The sequence below is a fragment of the Homo sapiens genome, chromosome 2 (genome assembly GCF_000001405.40).
Source record: "Homo sapiens chromosome 2, GRCh38.p14 Primary Assembly".
Classification (NCBI taxonomy): Eukaryota; Metazoa; Chordata; class Mammalia; order Primates; family Hominidae; genus Homo; species Homo sapiens.
The window spans coordinates 205,792,194-205,814,921 of record NC_000002.12 but is presented as its reverse complement, the minus strand read 5'-3'; the positions used below and the strand labels follow the sequence as shown (position 1 = coordinate 205,814,921).

General features: G+C 44.8%; 1 protein-coding gene and 1 long non-coding RNA gene across 11 annotated transcripts in view, besides 1 other annotated feature; one reads left to right on the top strand and one right to left on the bottom strand.

Annotated features, from left to right (window-relative positions):
* The window catches only part of LOC105373847 (uncharacterized), a 44,502-nt gene extending 28,428 nt beyond the window's left edge, over positions 1–16,074 (top strand). For all 3 annotated transcript variants that reach the window (XR_923802.3, XR_923803.3, XR_923801.3), the window contains exon 4: positions 16,022–16,074. This is a non-coding gene — a long non-coding RNA (uncharacterized LOC105373847). The remainder of the gene's footprint in view (positions 1–16,021) is intronic.
* Positions 16,791–22,728, bottom strand: part of NRP2 (neuropilin 2) — a 115,631-nt gene continuing 109,693 nt past the window's right edge. For 6 of the 8 annotated variants that reach the window (NM_201266.2, NM_003872.3, XM_047446170.1 and 3 more), the window contains 2 exons: positions 22,637–22,687; positions 16,791–20,168 (listed from right to left, as the gene is read on the bottom strand). In NM_201266.2, the coding sequence (NP_957718.1) occupies positions 19,864–20,168; positions 22,637–22,687 (356 nt within the window). In that variant the 3' untranslated portion in view covers positions 16,791–19,863. Of the gene's footprint in view, positions 20,169–22,636; positions 22,688–22,728 lie in introns of those variants that run through there. The other 2 variants (NM_201279.2, XR_007083522.1) reach the window with 2 other exon arrangements.
* Positions 17,856–18,357: an enhancer, noted in NCBI's record as "NANOG hESC enhancer chr2:206661289-206661790 (GRCh37/hg19 assembly coordinates)". NCBI's record gives its function as "activates a minimal SCP1, AML or CMV promoter by ChIP-STARR-seq in primed H9 embryonic stem cells {active_cell/tissue: H9 hESC(primed)}" and the evidence as "EXISTENCE:reporter gene assay evidence [ECO:0000049][PMID:30033119]".

Below are 22,728 nucleotides of genomic sequence, written 5' to 3'. Positions count from 1 at the left end.
GGTGGCCATAGACTGAGAGGATGTTGGAGGGAGATTGAGTATTTTTTAAAATATCTTTTGTCAGCCCGATTTATTTTTGTCTTTCTTCATAAGACGTGAGAGTTTTGCATCAGCGCATCTAAATGAAATAATTTGCTAAAGGTCAAATGCAATTCCCTCCAGCCAGCTTTCATTTACCTTCTAATTAATAACTAAATGCTCACACATACATTAGCCCGAGTCTCATGCATAAAATAATAACTACCATTTATTGAACACCTATTACATCCCAGGCATTTTGCATGTATTACTCAAATTCTTACAACCCCACAAGGTAAGAATACCTCTTTAATAGAGGAGGAAAATGATGCTTAGAGAGGCTAAGTAATTTGCCCTTGGTCATGTAAATTACTGTCTAAAGCCAAATGCTCCATGCTTTTTCATGCCATGCTGTAAGGCAGCTGCTTCCTGCAAGGGTTGGATGCCTTGTGCCATCTATTGTTGCTGATGAATGGAGAAATGAGAGGTTGGTATAGCAGTATCTTACTTCCCAAGTCAAACACCTCTCCATGGGAGGAAGCTGTGTCACCCAGAGCTCCTATTCCTTGATGGTTGTCATGATATGTATTTGGGAGGGGGCAAAATGCTGTCTGGTACAGACTTCCTTTTCATTCAATTCCATTTCCTTCCCACATCCTCCCACATGAGGGAGAGGTTGCAATGGAATCAGAAGAACATACATAGAATGAGTAAGGCAGGTTTGGACATGCCTTACCTGGAGAGATGTGCAAGTGGGGCAAAACAGATTTGCAGCCAAATGGTGACTTCTTAAATCAAGCATAACAAATTGGCTTGAGGTTAATTATCAGCCCATTACTTCCAGCGAGAAGCAGGAAGAATAGAAAAGTAGGTAAAATGTGTTTCTGTGGCTTTCCAACCTTCCTCCTGTGTCCTGTTTCTATGTGTCCTAGACTCTGAAACTTTATAATAAATTAGTCATTATACAAATCCACTGCTTATTTTTCTCCCACATTACTTTTAGTATGAATTTGTGAACATCATTCAAACCTATTTTAATTTTCTTAATATTTTAAATTTGAATAAGCCAGGTAAGCTTTGAAACATTTATAGAGTGTTATTTGACAACATCACAGTTAAATGACAAAATCACTACACTGATTTCTCGGTTCTCCTTTCCATTATGCCTGTAATTTGGTAAATTTCCAGTAGGTGGCGCTTCGTTGCTACAGCTGCAGAGATCCGGGACAGTACCTGGAACATATTTAACGAGAGTAACTTCTCAAAAGTGAGGTGTGAATCACTTGCATTAAATTATCCAGGCCCTATTACCTTTACTTTGTTAAAACACAGATTCCTGAACCCCAACCCCATACCCAATGAATTTGACTATCTGGGATTAGGAATCTCCATTTTTAAAAGACTTCCTTGGTAATTCTGATGCAGATAAAGTTTTGAGAATCACTTGTTTTGAGAAAAACAGAAATGCAAATTAAAGATAACTATAGGGTGGCTCACTCCTGTAATCCCAGCACTTTCGGAGGCCGAGGTGGGCGGATCACCTGAGGTCAGGAATTCCAGACCAGCCTGGCCAACATGGTGAAACCCCGTCTCTACTAAAAATACAAAAATTAGCCAGGCATGGGTTGGCAGGTGCCTGTAATCCCAGCTACTTGGGAGGCTGGGGCAGGAGAATCGTTTGAACCTGGGAGGTGGAGGTTGTAGTGAGCCGAGATTGTGCCATTGCACTCCAGGCTGGGTGACAAGAGCGAGACTTAGTCCCCCCCCCCAAAAAAATCTAAATATAAAATAGTAAGAACAGTATAGAAAGTAATACTCAACGTAGAACAACATACAAAGAAATACTCTACCAAAAAATCTGTCTTCAGGTTAAGTTCTTTATCCCAGTAGACTTTGATTATTATCAATCATTGTTTAAAAGTAACTCTACTTTTCCTTTAAGTAAAGGTCCAGATTTTCAATTCCTGTTAATGTTGAAAATCCCCAATCCCTTGGTCTCTTCTTATAAGCTACTGGCAGACTTTCTCATCCTGCAGCTTTTTTTGGAAATCTTTAATACTTTGACCTTCTTGTAATGTCTTATCACCTGGCCAAGTTTCAGCTAATCTCTTTCCTAAGAAAGTATGACTTTATCAATTCCATAAAAGTCTCCAAATCACCTTTTTGCTTCCTGTATTTCATTGCTTTGAAAGAGGAAAGAGAAAAAAAATAAAAGATCGAATGGCAATTTGCATAAAATTAAGATTTTCTTCAATATGGAAAATGTCCTTTTGGCAACCAACCCACACTTTCCCTCTACAACTGGTTTCTCCAGATGTGGCAGAGGAAGTATTTTTGCTTAGATGGATGATTATTCTTCAACTAAATTAGCAACTACACAAATCCCAGCTGCTTTTATTTTCTTCTACACTACTTTGGGTATTGAATTTGCAAAAATCAGTCAAACTTCTTTTCTTTTTCTTAATATTTTAAATTTCAACAAGCCAAACAAGCTTTAAAGTATTTATTGAGTAGTTACTTGACAACATCACACAAACACATTTAAGCACTTCAAGGGCAATATATTAAGCTGATCTGCAAAATATTCCCTTTTATTGCATTCAAGTCATTTTGTTTTCACTTTCCAAGTCTTGATGAGGAAATCTGATATTGGTTTGGTTTCATCTTTGGCTCCTGCCTCCTGGGAATAGGATTTCTAGCAATTATCACAAAGTGTCATTAGAATAAAAAACATTTGAATATTTTATTGGTGAGCTGCAGGGAGAGGTTGAATTGTCATAATGAGATATTACTTGCATAACATGGCTATTAAGGATTAAGGGTGTTTATCAATTGACTGATGAATCATTCATTCATTCATTTGCCATTTCAACAAACATATATTAAAGACCCATCTTGTGCCTTGTAGTGTTTTTTGGTTCTGAGACAGAAAGATCTGAAATTGGCTTTCTCATCAAAGTAGACACCACAATTTGGTAGAAGATAAATGCAGGACAAGATAGATAGTACAGATATGTGTACAGTACTCTTGTATAGATACTTGTTCTTGGTGTCTTAGACAACTTAGAAGGGGGAAAGTTCCCAGGGAATGTTGGGGTTTAATTCCACCTTCATACAATTTCTACGGCCAATTTGAGCCAAGGCCTGGAGTCTTTTCCTCAGCCCAGGAATGTGAACATCTGCCTCTGATCTTGATCTTCTGTGACTCTAGATTATTTTCTTGACTTATCTGTACTCTTGGAAGTAATTCCTCCCTCACTCTTCTTAACTGCCTCAGCCTCTTGCATCACTTGGAGATCTTGTGGGTAAGTCCCTAGGAAATTGTTTCCAAGAGCTGTCAAGTTGCCATCATCTTAGAAATGTTGTTTCCAAAGAATAGAGAATTCAGGGCCATACTGAACACTAATGCAGGCCTCAAGCAATGGTGAGCCTAGCATTCATCTGACTTGATGGCACAAAAGAATTCATAGCCATATTTACCAAAATAAAAATCTGCAGCCCTTACTTCTAAATTATCCCCATTGTGTTCTGGAGGGTAGAAGATTTTGTTGAGTGGAACGGCTAAGATGATGTACTACATTTTAGCCAATGATCTTTACTATATGGATCATTTACTTGAAAAGCGAGGCTTCTCTTCTTTGTGATTAACGGTTGAGAGTATGGTCTTTGGCGCTAGAATGTCTGTGTTCAAATCTGGCTCCTTCCTTTACTTACAGGGCAGTGTTTGGCAAGTTACTTCTCCTTTTTGGACTTCTCCTGATCTATAGAATGCAAAAAGCAGTAGAATCTGCCTTGCAGGAATCGTGAGGATTAAATGAATAATTCATTTAATACATTGTAGGTACTCAATACATGCAAACTATTATTGATTTGATTATTTGTGGTTCAGGAGTGATATGGTTTGGCTCTGTGTCCCCACCCAAATCTCATGTTGAATTGTGATCCCAAGTGTTTGAGGTGGGGCCTGGTGGGAGGTGATTGGATCATGGGGGTGGCTTCTAATGGCTTAGTACCATCCCCTGAATGCTTTCTTGTAATAGAGTCCTCACGAGATCTGGTTGTTTTAAAATGTGTGGCACCTCCTACTTCTCTCTGTCTTCCTCCTGCTCCCACCACGTAAGACATACTGGTTTTCCCTTCGCCTTCCCCCATGATTGTAAGTTTCCTAAGGCCTCCCCATCCATTGCCTCCTATACAGCCTGCGCAACTGTGAGTCAATTAATCTCTCTCTCTTTTTTTTTTTTTTTAATAAATTACCCAGTCTCGGGTAGTTCTTTATAGCGGTGTGAGAACACACTAATACAAGGTGCCTCCCATTTCTCTGAGTGGCACCATTGTGGAGACACACAAGTGGGTCTTGTCAAACTGGAAGCACCTTGTTATTTCTGATTATTACTGTTACTGTGGATGCATTCATCTAACCCACTCTTTTAATGAGATTTAGAGTCTCTCTGCTCAGAAGAGTAGCACTTATTAACCTATAGGGCAGCTGTGAAAATAAGCAGTAGCCCATATGCCCGAGGCCTACTGAAGTTCACAGGGGTGAGAGGAACCTGATAGAGATCACAGAGTGAGAAAACATTTTCTGTTTTATTTGGCTTCATAGAAATCTATGTCCAGTGGCAAGCAAGTGACTGGGTGAGAAAGAGGATAGCTGTTGCTTCAGTTATTATAATCAGATGCTTCTGTTCTCATAGCTTCTTCCCATGCACAGGACCTCCACATAGCAACATGTAATCACTGATAAATGTGAATGGGATTCCACGTGTTGCTTAGGGTCTGCATGGGGTTTTGTGGAGCCCTGAGGACTTTTTTAAATTATTTAAATTTTTGAATAGGTAATTCATTTACATGATTCAAATATTGACAAATATAAATAGGTATACAGTGGAAATTCTCCTCCCTCTTTTGTCCTCCTTCCTCGTAGTTCTCAGCCCCCCTGCCCATAGGAAAACCGTACTTATTTCTTACTTAACATTTTAGGTTTACTGCAATGGAAACATACCGGCAGGACTGACTGCGTGGGAGTGTGGAAGATACACAGGGCTCTGAGTGCAGGAGGGTGGTGCAGTTGATTTCATGCTTTGCTGTCACTGGCTTGAAATTCTTAATAATTTTGAACCCTATAATTTCATTTCACACTGGACTCTGCAAATTACAAATTACATATCCTGCATATTAGGCATGGTTCTTCACCTTGATTTTTTGTTTAACTGTATGTCTTAAAGATCTTTTCATATTTATACATAAAGAACTTTCTCCTTTTCTTTGTAGCTGTCCAGTAGTTTATCCTTGAGAATTTAAAAACCATATACATGGTCACCCAATAGGAACTCCTTTAGGGATGTGTGTCCCAATTTTCCAGCTCTGATGCTTCCAAACTTGGGAGAGAGAAAAAAAAATGGAGGGAAGTACCAGGAAATCTTTCCTCTGGCTGAATCCCTCATTCCCCGCTGCCTAGTTTTGGAAGCCTTTGGAAGCAATGCTCATTTCTTTACCAGCTAACTGCTGACCATGTCCCTACTGTCCATTGCTCTTTTCCACCATCCCCACCCTATTCCACCTGTCAGCCACCCCATTATTAAAATGCTTGGCAAGCAATCACCTGAGCTCCATTAGTCACAGCAGGCTACTTCTGTCTTTGCTTCAATCTGGAGGAAAATACTTTGGGCTGAATGAAACCATGGCCTCCAGAGACCCACCTTAAAAACTCCTCTTCCATTCCTTCTTTATTAGTACTCACCATCATTTATGGATAAATATATGGTCAGGGCTCAACCATGTGGCTGCTTTTGAGAAGGTAGCCAAGGCTGTCTCTGCTAAGGGATCTCACACTGTTAGAAGGCACCAAGTGGTGTTCTGAAACCTGTAACTCATTTTGAAGTAGCCAACAGCTCTGGCTCCATTGCAGATCTAGTGTCATACGGGACTGCTCACTCATTCAAGATAGTCCCGAGTTTAGAAAGTGCACTGCGCCATAGCTGTTCTGAGCAGTGTTCTTTTGAAAAGGACAGACCATAAAGTTCACATTCACTGAGAGGCTAGTGCTGTGGCCCTTGCACATGAGCACATGCCCTGCCCCTCCCTGCTGATTGTGGCTTGGGTTTGAGGACATGGATGCAGGATATTTGTGCCAAACTATGTTGTAAGCATCAGCAGTGATGGCAGCCCTCCTGCTGAGCTGAGTGAGATGCTGGCAGCCGAGGGCAGGCAGCCGTCACCAGACCTGGCATGTCCAACAGCTGGATCATGCCCCCAGTGTCGAGCATTCATGTGGCACAGACACAAGCATGCAAACAGTGGAGCAGAGTGAATGGAGAGAAGATTCACAGCCTCGCTATGTTCTCACTTCTGTTCCTTACCAGGCAAGGCAAGAGTAACCACAAATCACCCAATGGCTGCTCCCTGTTTCAATCAAGCCATGCCCTCGGCACCTGAAAGGAAGATTAACTAGATGCTAAAAATGCACTTTTGGAGTCCATTTCCACTGCCAGGAAAAGCTTCCAGGTATCTGCTACCCCTCAGGGAGAAAACAGGCTACAATTCCAATTAAACACCATATTGAGTACTTTGGTCTCAGTATACTCCACTTGTTTAGTTTATTTGAATATTTGATAAGAGAAGTGCTGGGGTGGCAAGAAAATTAATTAAAATAAGAAAGAACAATCTTAAGAGAGAAAGGGGACAAAAAAAACTAAGAAGCTACAGACAGCTTCTCCCCACACCTGCCAGCAATGAATTAATCACTAATCCATTCATTATTTCCAACTTAGGAATCTCTGTTCCCTGGACAAAAAAACAGGGTTATTGTTTTTAAATGTCTAATTAAAACACATTGAAAGACAGTCTCTAAAATGTGCTCGGCCAGTTCTAATCACATGCGTAATATGGTTGGGAATTGCTGAAGTGCAGTCTTGCGGCTTTCTGGAATGGGAGGGATCTTTTCTCATCGAAATGCTGAGTCTTTGAGCCCTGTTTTCCTCATGGTTCACCACGTGCTGCATCTCATTCAGGTACCAGTGGGTAAGGACAAGGAGAGAATATCAGCAATGGTCTCCTCTGCATCCATGTGGTGGGAGGGCGGCAGGAGGGAGGGTTTCTACTGCAGCTGTCCTGGGCTGCTGATTGGAGTCTATATATTTATAATAGCCTTATTGAGACATAATTCACATACTTTAAAGTTCACCCTGGATTATATTTTAATTCTGTGCAATGAATTTAGGAAAATCCTGTGGGCATTTTCCTTGGGCTGAGAATGGACAGATGGAGATCTCCAAATCAGGCCTGCCTGTCCATCCATCCAGGTGAGGCCAAGCGCCTTGTCCATCCTGGAACTGTCCAGCCCACACAGCTGCTTCTCCCTCTGTTTTTCTATTACCTGCTCGCCCTCCTCTACTTCAGCAGCCAAGAATCTTTACCCAAAGTGATTAATGGCTGTGTTGTGTTGGGACAGCTCTGACACTGATTGAGTCCCTTATCTCTCTTCTGTGTCCTCCCTAAGACAGCTACCCTCTCAGGTATCAATCAGTGCTTTGGCTCTCTATTCCTGGGTGAGCCAGAGACTGTCAGCGATACATTCTGATTGTCATCTTCATCTGAGCTGCCACCTGCCCTGCACAGCTTAAAGGGTCTTTTTAAGGCACACAGGGGAGGGGAGGTGCCAACAGTGCTCCTAACCGCATCTGCCACGGCTGGGGACAATTCCATGTGTTTTGGACAAATTTGGGGAATACAGTTTCTAAAAGGCAGAACTGGGGACATTTACGTGTATCAGCTGCTGAACCTCCAAACCTGTTTGGGAAGTGGAAGGGGGTGGCAGCAGCCTCACCTGGCAGTCCCCCCAGGGAGACCCCACTACCCCCGTAAAAATCAATATCGTGGGCCAGGCATGGTGGCTCACGCCTGTAATCTCAGCTACTCGGGAGGCTGAGGCAGGAGAATGGCTTGAACCCGGGAGGCGGAGGTTGCAGAGAGCCGCGATTGCACCACTGCACTCCAGTCTGGGTGGCAGAGGAAGACTCCGTCTCAAAAACACAAAACAAAACAAAAACGACACAATCAACATCATGTTCTCTAGCAGAGGCTCAGTCACAAAGAGGACTTTGAGAAGTGAAGAAGGTGAGCGAAGGACACACAATAAAGCGGGCCAGAAAGACACCAGGTGAACACAGGAGTGGAGTGGGGTGAGGTGCAGTCCCTGAAAACACCGCAGGAGATAAAAACACCGGGGCTGGGGAGAACGAAATAGAACATTTGTCTAAGCCTGGCTTTTGAATTGGCCCCAAATGCAGTGACATTTTCCTTTTTGGCTGCTTTGAAAAAGGAGGAGAGGAGAAAATGTAGACTGTGACATTAAAGATAGATGGGCTTGGACAAATTGAACCGTTTTGAAGGTTTCCCTGATGCCCAGAAGGCTGAGGGTGAGTCTCCACGGTGAGCTTTTGGGAGAGGCGAGCTCTCTTCTTCTTAAGCCCAGAGAAAGCTGCATAATGAAACGGCGGCTTTCAGCCCAGGCCGGCTACAGGGAGGTTTAATATTTAACATCGCATTGGCTGGTGAGTGCGCTGGGGTTGGCTCATCCACTTCAGGCTGACATTTGCTACAGGAACTCACCGGGCCTCTCAGTGGCGAGAGGTGGGGCACAGGAGTGAGGCCAAGACACTGAGTGTTTTGGGCTCCTTAGGAAGGCACCTGTCCAGAGCCCCCCTTCCCAGGCAGAGCCATCCATCTTGGGCCTGGCCGTGCATTTGACTTTAAAAGTAGGTCCCTTTGGCCGGTGCCTCTGCATGTGAATGGCATCTTGAAGGAGCAGAAATCCCATTAAGGAAGAACTGTTGACCCTTCTGTCTCACGCAGTTGCCTCTCTGCTGACCCTCCATTTGTGGCCCGTGAATCCTTAATGTGGGAAGTGGTAATTGGAGAAGGGAGATTAGAGGGAAGAACGAGACATAGACTGCATGTGACACTGGAGAGCAAGGACCTAAAGGCCATTTGATTTATCAACCTCTACAAATGGGAGGTGCTCCGTCCCCATCACCCCCGAACTTGTTCCAGAGCAGCTCCAAGCCCAGCATGTCTTATTCTTCTTGGCTACTCCACAGTCTCTAGCACAGCTTCCATGCTGGCAACAACTAGGTTCCCCGTCAGTGTCTGTGTGAGAAAAGGTTAAAAACCCAAGGGAACTGGGTGCCAATAGGGATGAGGGCCAGGGATGAGGGTATAGGGAAACAACACGCTCTCTCCATAGGAAGCAAGTTACATGAACAGCTAACAGAAGAGTCACCCTGTGTTCGTGCCACATCTAGGTGCCCAAAGATGACGGTCCTAACCGGTGCAGGCTGGCAGAAGGGATTTCATGCAGTGCGCAGGTCAAATCTGCTTCGCTTGGCTTTGGCTGCCACTGCGTCCCCCTTTTTGATTAGTGCAGCAGAATTAACCTCCCCCGCCTGTGGGCTCTGTTCCCACCATGCAACACAAATTGAAATAGTGGGGTGGCAGGCGGTGGCAGTGGGGGCTGTGTTGGGGAGGGGACCACAGGGACCTTCCATCTTGTTAATGTAACACTTCCTTATGTGATGGGAGCTGAGAGCAGCCTGTAATGAATTTCTCCTGTGGTAATCATTCACCAGTGCATTGTGACCCGTGTGTTTTTGCTGTGCTACACATTTCCAGACTTTTGCAGTGACTTGTCAGCACCTAGTAAAAATGAATTGGACGCGACCCATCACTTCGTGCTATGCCCTCCCAGCTGTCTTTCATTCTGTTGAGAGAAGGAGTAGGTGGGACCACCTGGAACACCACTGCAGACTCTGGGGCTGTGGCAGGATGCTGAGCCCATCTCACAGGCAGGTTGATGCAGGCACACCAAGTTTGTGGCACTTGTTATGCAGAGTCATGTTCTTTGGTCCAAATGGCTCCAAAGTGGCCTTTGCCTTTTGCACCTGTTGTTTCGTGCTGCACAATGAGCTGTTCAGGCGGTTTCTTTCTTTGAGAAGGCATGGGTGCAAATGCTGGTACAATTAGGCATCTGGGCACCCCATGGGTTCTTACCAACTCTGGTGTGAAGATCCATTGATGGCAGGGGACAAGGCTATCGTCTGAGTCGCACGCATGAGCATCGCCATCTGCAACTGTAATTCTAGCCACGTGGTCAATCGTAAGAAGGGGTTTATAACCAGCTTTTACAGCATTTGTGGATCATGATGATTAAACAACAGATGGGAAACCAACCAAGATTTCTAATCTCTACCTCTTCATTGATGGAGTGAGCAAGGGCTGAGGGAGTCACTTTGTGGCCTCTCTCTATGGTTCAATCTATAATTAGGGTAGGCACGACTCCTCCTGACTTTCTGCAACTGTTTTCTACACTCTTTATTATCAAATCTTAAGCACAAATTTTTGGTTTGGGAAATATGGCCCTGAAATTTTGGTAAGGTCCCAGGAATCCCATGGTGAAGAGAAAGCTCTTCAATTAGGATTATCAGGTAAAATATAGGGCATCTCATCAAATTTACATTTCAGATAATGAGCAATTTTTCAGTTTAAGTGTGTCCCAAGTATTACAGGGGACTTAAAAAAAATCAAGATGCTCTTTAAAAAATTGTGGTAAAATCTACATAACATTTACCATTTTAACCCTTTTGAAGTATACATTTTAGGGGTGTTATACATATTCACAGTGTTGTGCAACCATTACCACTATCCATTTCTAGAACTTTTTCATTACCTGAACTCTATACCCATTAAAAAACAACTCCCGGTTCTTTCTTTTCCCCAGCCCATGGTAACTTCTAATCTACTCTTTGTCTCTAGAAATTTTCCTATTCTAGGTACTTTCTATAAGTGTAATCATATCATATTTGTCCTTTTGTGTCGGTTTATTCCACTTAGCATGATATTTTCGAAGTCCATCTCTGTGGTAACATGTATCAGAATGTCATTCATTTTCAGGATGAATAATATTTCATTGTATGTGCACACCATATTTTGTTCATTCATCTGTTGATAGGTATTTGTGCTGTTTCAACCTTTTGGCTATTGTGAATAATGTGTCTATGAATATCAGTGCACAGATATCTGTTTCAGTCCCTGCTTTCAATTATTTTTGGTGTATATACCTAGAAGTGGAATTGTTGGATCATATGGTAATTCTATGTTTAACATTTTGAGGAACTGCTGTACTGTGGCTGCGTGGGACATTTTTATGTGCTAAATCTGGCAACTTTCCAACTGTTTCAACAGAATTTTAATCTGAATATTATATTTAGCCTAAATTATCATATTTAAGCAGAAACTAATAGTGCCCATTTCCATGCTGAAACTTATGGCATAATCTCTCCATACAGACTCCTGGAAGGTTACTTGCACATTTTCTACTACAGTGAAGAACAGGTAGCAAGAAGCAAGAACAAAAACACTTATCTTTTAGTCTGTACAAACTGGGCAGCTTGATGCCTGTCAGAGGGGAATTTATACAAGTCATTCATTCATTCATTCAACAAATACTTATGCACAGGCAGTAGGTGCCAGGTGTGAGCCGGGGATCCTGATGCAAAGGTGAATGAGACATTCCTCCTCACCCCCTACTTCGCTCTAGCCAAGTTTCCTTTGGCTTCAGCATCTTTGCCTTCTCCCCCTGCTCACCTGACTCATCCTAGGATTTCAGCTCCCATAAGACACAATGCTCAGGTCCCTGCTTACACACGCGCAGCTCTCTGCACTTTGCTTTGGAGCTCTTGCCATATCGTTATATTTGTGTGGTTTCCTGATTCACTTGTGTGTTTCCAGACTGTAAGTCCCCGAAGACAGAACCAGGTTGTTTTGCTGATCATGTCTCCTAGCACCTAGCGAGGCACAGTTTAGGCATTTAATCTAAAATAGGCTTATTATATAAATGAATGGATACATCAGTTCTTCCCTCAAGAGGTCATGGGGGATGAATATGCATGTCAGTTTCTATGTCAGTAGACAGGAATGAAGGGCTCTGGGGAAAAGAGCAGTTCTGCCTCTGGGGAGCTGGGATTGGGGTCCAGCTCCACGATAACATCAAGTCAAGCCCAAAGATGCCATCCCCACCGTCTGTGCAGAAGGGAGCCTGAGACAATGTTGGGAAGGGAGCATCCGGAGAGCTTTGCCTTGCTGGGCTGTGCAACACACATACAGACAACCAGCCAGAACCACCCCATGGACTAGGATGTCATAGCATAGCTGAGGGCTCAAAATCCATGTAGCCCAAACATCCACTTTACAGATGGGAAAGCCAAGATGTGTTGTGGCCTTCCCAAGGTCACACAGGCAGAGGCAGAACCGAATCTTGAACCCTGGTCTCCCAAGCCCTGAGACAGTGCTCTCCGCCTCCTCGTCATGTCCACATTCAAGGGGAAAGGAGCACTGGGGGATTTCAAAACCCTACAAAGCTTTCTTCGAACTCCCACAGGCATTAAAAATAGTCAGCTGGGAATAGAAACACGAATGTTCAAGGCGAGATGAGATGAGGGGTGAGAGGAGGAAAAAAGGTGAAGACAGAAGGCAAATCTAGAAAGGCCGCCTGCCACCCTCTCTGGAGTCAAGGCCCTGTCGGGCAGTTCTGCCTGAGGCTTGGCAAGGCGGAGGTGCAGCAAGGCTGTGCTTCAATTCCCAGTGGAGGCAGTCAAGGGCTTCAGGATGAGATTAATTAGTGGGGCTATGCTCCAAACCACGGCATCCTGGCCCTGCAGACAGTTCTGAGAAGCCTGAGGGGCTGTGGAGGCTGCAGCCTGCACCTTGCAGACTGAACGGCACTGTTTCTGGGGAGGCTGTTAGAGTCTCAAGGGTAAAGAAGGGTCCATGCCTGAACACAGCTGCCAGGGCCTGCTGGTCTAGTGAGGGGTTTGCTAAGGGACCTAGAACCAAGCACCCCAAATCCTCACATGTTGAATGCCCAGACCCCAGGGCTTTGCCTCTCCACTGGTGAAGGGCGTTCTGCAGAGGCCTAGGCACCTCAGTGTGCACGTGAGCCTGACAGGGCCTCAGGTCAGGGTTTGAACACTGTGTGGGCCCTGCTTGGGCTGGGCTGTGTCCTCTGCAGAGAGGGCACCCTCCTGCACTGGTGCCACTGTGTAGGAGAGGGGTTGAGGGAGGGCTCAGACTCACTGTGGCCAGGTGGGATATGTTTTCTTAGTGAGAAGGCCTCCTTTTCTTACAGCACTTGTAAAACTGTGATGACAGGAACAGCACTCACACACACACACACACACACACACACACACACACACACAAACGCACACACACTTGTCCTATAGGGTTTTCTGACAAGGAAGGGTGAGGAAACAGGTGTTATTCTCTGGATGAGCTGCAGAAGTAATCTGGTTCTTAGTTCCCTTGGAGGTCTCTTGCTTGGGCCTCCAGAGAGAACATGAGAGGCATTGTCTTTCCACCAGGAACTGCCTCTGAGGGTCACTGAGAAAACTCAGGAAGGAAGAGGACCAGCCTTGGAAGATGGGGTGGGCAGCAGGCGAAGGTGGCTCAAGAGTTCTGAGAGATAGGAATTCAGGGGCAAGCCCTGCCTTTGCCTCAGCCTGGGGCGACCTGTAAGCTTCCAGGACTCTTCCCATTGTGTTGATGGGAATGACTGTTAAGTTACTGTGAGCCCCTAGGGTGGATGGTGAGGTAGCTCTCAGCCCCCACCACTGGTTGCATTTGCTGTTCTGACCATCACCCCCTCCCACCACCCCACTCCCCATCTCACACCCTTTATCCCCCGGTGGAGAGATCTTTTTCCCAAGAGTTTTGTTTAGCTCAGCCTGGGATTAGAGCCTGAAGGCTGTGAGAACTGAAATTGAGTCATCTTTCAACCTCTTCAGGTTCCCTCCCACACCCCCATCAACACCACCAACGTCACAGGGGCAAAGGCGGCCTCTGCATCCAGATGGGTCCTGTTTTCTTCAACCATGGTTCTGTTCCAACCTCATTTCACTGGCCAGCCTGCCTCCCCTGAGTTTCATGTAAACATTTCCAGAAGGATGTAGATTAGAAAAAAAAAAAAAAAAGGTCTTATGTAAACACTTGCTGGCTAGGGACCAGGAGATATTATTAGTTTATTAGGGCTTTAAAAATACCCAAAAGCTCAACTAAAGGAGAGAAGAAATTTGTTTTCATTTTAACCTCTGTTATTGTTGCTAGGGTCAGTAATACAATAGAAGCAGGCATCCCAGGATACACAAGATATCGTAAGATCACAGGAGGGTCAAAGAGGGAAATTGCAGAGATTTGACTATGGTGACATTATTGGTCAGTGAGGAATGGGTGGTAGTGGGGGCTGCCCTTTTTTATCAATTAAAAAGAGCAGAAGAATGATACAGAAGAGAGAGCACTTCCTCACTGGGGCCTTAAGGTGCAGTGTGTCCTGGCCCTTTACCTTCCCAGCCCCATCTCCAGCCCTTCTCCTTTGTTGATCATGTTCTTGCATTTGGCTGTTTGCTTCCCGTCCCCTCCCTGAGTGGAAGCTCTAAGAGCTTACAAAATCAGGAACTGCTCAAAAACATTTCTTAAATAAGAGACCGAAACAAATTTCCTTTTCAGGGTAAACAGAGCCCCAGGATGGTGGCAAATTTGGCTCAGGTTCAGAGCTTCCATGGGGAGGGAGGTTCATAATGAAGTGTCTCCCTCCCCCTTGCCAGGGAACTTATTGTACTACCTAGGTAGTTTTGAATCCAATAACCAATAGGTGAAAAGGTCCTCAATCACCTCAGTCACCTGAGGCCAGGATAGTTCTTCCACTAAAGGCACTAATCCCATCATGAGGGTGGGACCTAATGACCCAGCTCATGACTTAATCACCTCCCAAAGACCGCACGGTCTAATACCATCGTGATGGGGATTGAAGCTTTGATGTAGGAATTTTAGGAGGATACAAACATTTTCATTTCTACTGGATCAGTGGTTCTTAAATTTGAAAGAGCAGCAGATTCCCCTGGTGGGCTTTGCTGAAGCACAAATCCCTAGACCCCACCCCCAGAGCTTCTGATTCAGTAGATCTGGGATGGAACCTAAGCATATACATCTCCTCTGACAAGTTCCCCAATGATGCTAACACTGCTGGCCAAGAACCACACTTTGAGAAGCACCATCACAGATGCTGAAACCACCAGAGATATTGACAATCAAGGGTTTGACCACAAAGGAAGGAGCAAACAATCTAAAGTTGCAGGGCCTGGTGATGTCCAGGGAGGAAGAGTTTGTACAGGTCACAGCCTCTGAAGTCTACCAGGTAGGACTCTGAGTTAAAGTAGCCCATCTGGCCAGATGGCCCATCACCCATTCCCACACTATCTTCATTTTATAAGAAGCCAACCTGCCCATTAGCCTACTGCTTCAAATGCTGAGAAGAAACATTATCCCAAGAGGATGACTTACCATCTCAGTTTGCCCAGGATCGAGGGGTATTATGGACTGAATGTTTGTGTCCTTCTAAAATTCATACATCAAAGCCTCAACTACCATTTTGATGGTATTAGGATTTGGGGCCTTTGGGAGGTAATTATGTTTAGATTAGGTCATGAGGTGGGTCATTATGTCCCACCCTCATGATGGGATTAGTGCTCTTATTAGAAGAAGAAGACAGAAAGATCTCTCTCTATGGAAAGGCCAGGTGAGCACACAGAGAGAAGGCAGCCATCTAAAAGCTAGGAAGAGAGCCCTCGTCAGACACTGAATCTGTTGGTGCCTTGATCTTGGACTTCCCAGCCATCAGAACTGTCAGAAATGTATGTCTGTCGTTTAAGCCACCAAGTCTGTGGTAGTCTGTTATACCAAGCTCACTCAGACAAAGGGTTTTCCAGGACACAGTGATAGTGACAGGAGGCAAGGAAATACTGGGTAGAAGAGGGTGGTATCTGGTAAGGGTACCACCCTCTTCTTTGGTACTGCGGCCCAAAGTGAGAACATACATTCTTGTTTTCCTGCCTGAATGTTACCTTTTCTAAAACCACCCTGTCCTGCCCTGTCCCCCATCCTGTACCCAAAGAAAACCCCAGGCCCCACCAGCAGAGCAGCAGAGCAGCAGAGTGGCAGAGTGGCAGAGAAGGAGAGAAGCAGCAGCCAGATGTTGGAGAGAAGCAGCTTGACTTCAGAGGGACAACTTGGTAGCGGGACCTCGGAGAAGAGTTTGGCCAGGGATGCCCAAACTCCAGGGGAAGACCACCTTCCCACTCCATCCCCTTTCCAGCTCCCCATTCCATTGAGAGCCACTTCCACCACTAAATAAAATCCTCCACATTCACCAACCTCAAATTTGTGAAACCTCATTCCTCCTGGATGCTAGACAAGAACCTGAGTGTGGGTGCAAGAGGCTGTCATCATGACTCTACACTGAGCTGTTTAACACTTAAGCCATCCGTGGATGGCAAAGCTAGAAGAGCGCACTGTAACACAGGCCCTCTGGGGCTCCAGGGGTCATGGGCGACCCCTAGACTCTGCCGCAGGCCCGCACAGGGTTCTGCTCCTGCCGGTTGCCCAAAAGTGCTCATCCTGGCCTCTGCGCCTGCTCTCCTGTGTTCTCCCCCTCCCACAAGGGGTTGAGAGCTGCAGGCTGAGTAAGCAAGCCACCCTATCATGAGTCCTGTGAATGGGTTGAGGGAACTATCCTATTTCAACAGGACATTCAGTGCTAAAAACCTGAAAAAGTCTCAGGCAAAGTGGGACAATTTGGTCACCCTTATCCCGGATCTGTTTGTCTCCAATAAAGACAATGCAGAGAAAAAAAAAAAAAAAAAAAACCACGATGCAGAAAAATATCTCTGGTATAATGTTTATTTAAATAGTAATCTTAAAAAGGCTTTATACAAATCATATAAACACAGTTTGACATTGTTGTTTATTTTTTACATTGAAGAATCACAGTAAAAGCTCTCAAGTTCCCGTGATCTGGCTCAGCCAGTGAATGGTCGAATACCTCTAACTGCAAACCCTGAAAAAGTTAACCTGCTATGTGACAGGTTAACTCTTTCCCTTGTTTTCTTGTCATTCATGCTTATTCCTTGGACCCTCATCCCTGTCAACTCCCCTGCCCCACCAAAGACAGAAAGCAACCCTGTGGCCCTGTTGACCACCTAGTCCGGGAGAGTGTGGAGGTAATGTGTCATTCAGTACAAGGCAAAAAGGAGATCAATACTGGCAGTGGGGTTTCCCAAAGGGAATGACTCAAGGAGATGGGTCAGCTAGCCTACCCACAGATAAAGATAACAAACACACCAAGGTGTCCCCTGGCCAAGTCAAAATTGGGCCCAGCGTCTTTCTTTCTGTCTTATGACAGACCAGCCTCCAGCCTTGGTGTGGTATCTACATGTAGCCCTGCGTACCCTGCTTCTTTTTAGCATTCAAGGCCCACTCAGGGCCTCAAATTAGCCAATGGTGAATATGGATATAGGACTTTTAGAGGGATGCAGGTTGAGTTGTACATAACTTAGAGGTGAAGTGCAGGTCCGAAACAGGGCTAGACTTTGGAGAACTGTAAAATGGCTCACTGAGCATGACAGCATCAGGACCCCTGGAGTGGCTTTCAAACTTACCTTCTTCTGCAGGCTACTTCTGGAAATCCCTAGGACTTACCAGCTTTCTGAACACTGCGCATCATGGGAGGGTGAAGAGGAAAAGGGGCTAGTTAAAATCTTGCTTCTACTGTGGGCCGAACTCAGGAGGAGCCCTAAAGCTAAGCCCTTGGGCTTGACAGCTCTACTTTTCACCTCTAACTACCACTGTGCCAATGAGTGCCGAGTGCCAAGATCAGCTGTGACACTCGGACCCTAGGTCAAAGTCACAACACCACCACTGAGTCCCACATGACCATTCACATACACAGTAGATACAGAGAACTCAAAGCAGCAAAGACACACACACATGAATAAACAGCTGTTGGTTGAACTCTTGCTCTCTGCATACAAAACACTGTGACATTACCATTTGAACTAGCATTTCCATAAGTTAACATTTAAAGGAACCAGCCAGTCCCATTCACCCTTCCCCTTTCACCTGGGTATAAGACAAATGAAATCGTGGGTGACCACAGCAGCAAAAATGGTCTGACAATGATATGCAATAGGCTGGGCATACTGGTTGAGTTTCAAATATATTTCCAGCACACAGGCAATCCTTAGGCGTTAATATGAAATCAAGATTTGGATCTTGATGCGAACAATCTTATCCTTCACACAGTTTCATTCTATTCCTGATGCCTCCCTTTGAAGAGTAGTTGAGAGTCATCTAGGGCTATGACTACCACTCGGGTAGCAGGACTCATTCCTTTAATAGGATCAGCAGTGAGTTGGGGTACTTGGGAATGGAGCCATCGGGGTTAGGGAAAGAGGAATGCCTTAATTCATAAGATATTCACTAATTTTTACATAAAGGGAAAATACATTTTTCTTCATTTTTTCAAGGCACTTAATAAAAACATAAATTGGTGTGCATGCGTGCGTGCGTGCATGTGTGTATGTGTGTGTGCGTGCATGTGTGTATGCGTGTGTGCATATGTGTAAGAACCTAGGTCTCTCAAGGCTGAAGCAGCATGGTTAAGCATTCTTGTCCACAGTACTTGCGGACTTCTGGTTAGAATCAGTTCTTGTACATCCTAGCTCTGACTCTCCCGAAAGGTTGAAATGGTGTTTGTAACCCAAAGGAGAAGTCGGTGTTTACTAGTCTATTTGAGAGACAAATGCATTTCAAAGGGTCTCTGTCTACACTGCTCAGCCTTGGCCCTCATATGATCACAGAGGTTGGGCTTCTCTTTCCCTCTCCTCTGTTCTCCTTCCCGTCCAGTGGTGACCAGTTACAATAACTCGCTGATGGGGAGAACATACCAATAGTCTCTATTTTTCCCTCTATTTTCCCCTGCCTCTGAGAATATCACACAATGCTGCTTCCAGGGGCTTAGAGACCTGAAGAATATGTGTATGTGTGTATGTATATATGTATATGTTTTAGAAGAACATGGAGGAGGGAAAAGAAAAGGCAAAACCACCACCAGAAGCCCCACAAGGGAAGCCCCACCACCAGACACTGTGGGTCTAGAATTAGCGAATGGCTCCTATTCACTCACAAAGCACTTTAAGCCTCGTCCAGGCGCTTCTATGGATTTTGACGTGTGAAGTTTCCTTTCCAGTTTGTTTTAAATCGCATACAAGAAAGAGCTGTTCATGCTGACCCTAAAATGGCAATTTTCCCCTGGATAAGAAAAGTTAAAGGCAACAACATCCTACTTAAATGCTAGGACTGGAAATGGCAGCTTGTAGGGTTGGCTGGCAGAACCTACACCACAGTAAATCCCTTAAGTCAGAAGACAATCAGAGGATGGGATAAGCTGGACGGCTTTTTTGAGTTTTATTTGTAAAGATGGAAAGGCTGAAAAGACACTTTGCTTTTCAAGTGTTGATTAGAAAGAGAAAGCGGAGAATAATGATCACTGCTCCACTTCTATTCTGGAAAAGTCATTCTCCTCTTCTGCCTCTTTGAGTTGCTCACAGACCAAAGAAATAAAATATAATAATAATAATAATAATAATAATAATACAAACTCACAAACAAAATAGAACTGTGACCCCAAAGAGATGAGCTCCTGTTTTGTCCCAGCAGAGAACACAGCCCCGTTCCTGCAATGACTTAGCCACCGCGGTCCTAGGAGGGTAATCATCCCCTGTGCGGCTGCATCTCCCTTCCTCCTGCGACTCGCTTTTCTGTCCTGTCCATACCTTCGGTATTCTGGATCGGTTTGATCGAGATTATGGCATTCAGTTTCCAAAGGAAAAAAAAATGTAATCTTCCCCAGCCCCTCTTGCTGGAATGAAACGTCAGATAGGATTCAGGTGCAATCCGTCATGCCTCGGAGCAGCACTTTTGGTGGTTCATCTTGACCTTGTGCTTAAGGCCATCGTAGAGCTCGAAGTTGTAGTTCTCCAGTGTGGTGCAGCTTCGGGAGCTCAGGCCCGAGTAGGAACAGGTGCAGTAGAGCAGGAGGCCTGCACAGGTGGCCCCCAGGAGGACGCCCAGTGAGCTCATGGCGATGATGGTGATGAGGATGGGATCCAGGGTGTACAGCCAGCTCTTTTCTTTGTCGGTCGAGGGGGCGCCAGACCCTGAGGTTGCAGAAGAAGAATTGCTCCAGTCCACCTCGTATTCATCTGCGATACATAAAATTCATGAGAGATTGCAGGCACTGCCTATGTCAGGGTGAAGTGACTGAGCCTCCCCAGCCCAGAGGCTCTTCAGAGCACAGTAGTTAGCAGCAGCAGCTCTGGAATTAGACTGCCTGGGTTCAAAGCCCAGCCTGGCCGCATCCTAGCTGTGTAACTTTGGGCAAGCTATTGAACCTCTCTTTGCTTCAGTTTTCTCCTCTTTGAAATGGGGATAATAGTAAAATCTGCCTCAACTGGGTTGTTAGGAGGATTACATGAACTAATATTTGTAAAGTGCTTGGTGTCTGCAACATAGTAAGTACTAAGTATCCGATATTTAAATAATTTGAGGCCGGGCGCGGTGGCTCACGCCTGTAATCCCAGCACTTTGGGAGGCCGAGGCGGGCAGATCACGAGGTCAAGAGATCGAGACCATCCTGGCTAACACGGTGAAACCCCGTCTCTACTAAAAATACAAAAAATTAGCCGGGCGTGGTGGCGGGCGCCTGTAGTCCCAGCTACTTGGGAGGCTGAGGCAGGAGAATGGCGTGAACCTGGGAGGCAGAGCTTGCAGTGAGCCGAGATTGCGCCACTGCACTCCAGCCTGGGTGACAGAGCGAGACTCCGTCTCCAAAAAAATAAATAAATAAATAAATAATTTGACTTACATTAGGTAAGCTCTGATTTTAACAGCACCTTTGGGGTGGCTTTACAGCACCTAGGATGGCCTTGTGTTCAAGGCAACCTCTACATCCCTCCTTTCCAACCTCCTCAAGCTAATGAAAGGACAGTCTGGGACTATTTGCACATGATGAGTTTCCTAATTTGGTATTCCTGGCCATATAAGCAGCAGATTTTTCCCAGCCATCAGACCTCCTTTAATAATAAGGCATCGTGCCTTATTGTTACTGGTTGAACTGTATCCCCCTCCCAGACACTTAAATTCATATTGAAGTCCTAACCCTCACCACCTTATTTGGAGATAAGGCCTTTACAGATGTTATCAAGTTAAAATAAGGTCATGAGGGTGGACCTTTATCCGATAAAAGTGGTATCCTTAGAAAAAGGGGAAATTCTGAGACACACACATGAGAGAACATCGTATGAACAGGAGAATGGCCATCTCCAAGCCAAGGAGACAGAGCTAGAATAGATCCTTTCTTACAGCCCTCAGAAGGAACCAACCCTGTCCACATGTTGATCTTACATTTCTAGCCTCCAGAACTGTGAGAAAATATATGTCTGTTGTAAGCCACCCAGTCAGTGGTGCTCTGTTCTGGAAGCCCTAGCAGACTAATCTAATTACGTTTCTACACTGTGGCCAAGGCATGCCCACATCTGGGCATCATTTTTTGAAATATCCTAATAATCCCATGAAGAAGGCAGGATATTATATATATTTTAATAGGTGAGGAAACTGAGGTTTAAAGAAATTAGGCAACTAGGTAACTCACTCCAGGTCACAGGCTTAGCAAGCAGTTAAAGCAGGAATGGAGATCAGGCTTTCTGCCTCCTTACCCATTGCCCTTTCTACTCCATTCCAGTGCGCCTCTGCCTGATCTACTGCGGTCTCTCCATGTAGGTTGGTCATGCACTTTTGCCCATAAAAGGAGTGTTGGACTGGGTTTTGCAGGGAGAGTCTGCAGTCAGTTAACAAGGTGCTGTTTGGGTTAGTCACTCCAGTTTCTATAACTACGCATGAAGTTTCTGATTAAAGGCAGGTTAAAAGCAGCTGCTCTATAAACTGTTCCTCTTAAATTCATCAATCTTAGTCTACAGTTATTCTTTAAGTGGAATCTTGCTGTTGAGTCTGTTGGAGATCAACTCTGGTACTCAGAGAAGCCCAGAGAGAGACCTGTGCTATTCTGAGTTGAGGGAAGAAATTACATCTACATATTTGCTCAGCAGCCCTCTAGCCTCTTGAAGTATATGTGTTTGCAGTGGAAAAATAGAACTTGGAATAAATATAAAGATACGAGATGGTCAGTGTGAAAAAGAAACCGAAATCTTGCAAGAAGCTCCAAATTGGAATCTTGAATAGTGTGAGGAAGGTTTCCCCCAAGCCAGGGAACCAGAAACCACAGCAGGTCTGGGAGAATATTCACATTATGCTCATTCACTCAGGCCATTTTTGGGAGAAGGTCAAAAGATTCAGACTATGACACGTATGGAGGAGCTGATCTTTCACTTGTAAAGGGTTTATTCAGATTCAAAGTCCATCCAGGTAAAAAGTTACTGGAAAGAGGGGATCTGTTTCAGATTAGGCAGAGGAACTCAATAAACTTTCTAAACCTCTAAAGTTGACCCTGACAGATCCATTGATGGTTCCCTCATTTTTCTCCAGATTCTTTTATATATTTCTGACTGATAGTTCTAGATTTGGGCCCTCCGATACCCAGAGCATTATTTTTGTTGACACCTTTATAACCAAACTTGAATTTTACGATTACCTGCTAAATCATAACAGTACTCACCATCAATTTCATCTTCATATCCTTCTCTCTCATGTATTTCTGGGATGTCCACTATAATATAAAGAAAATAAAAACAAGTTAATAACAAGTTC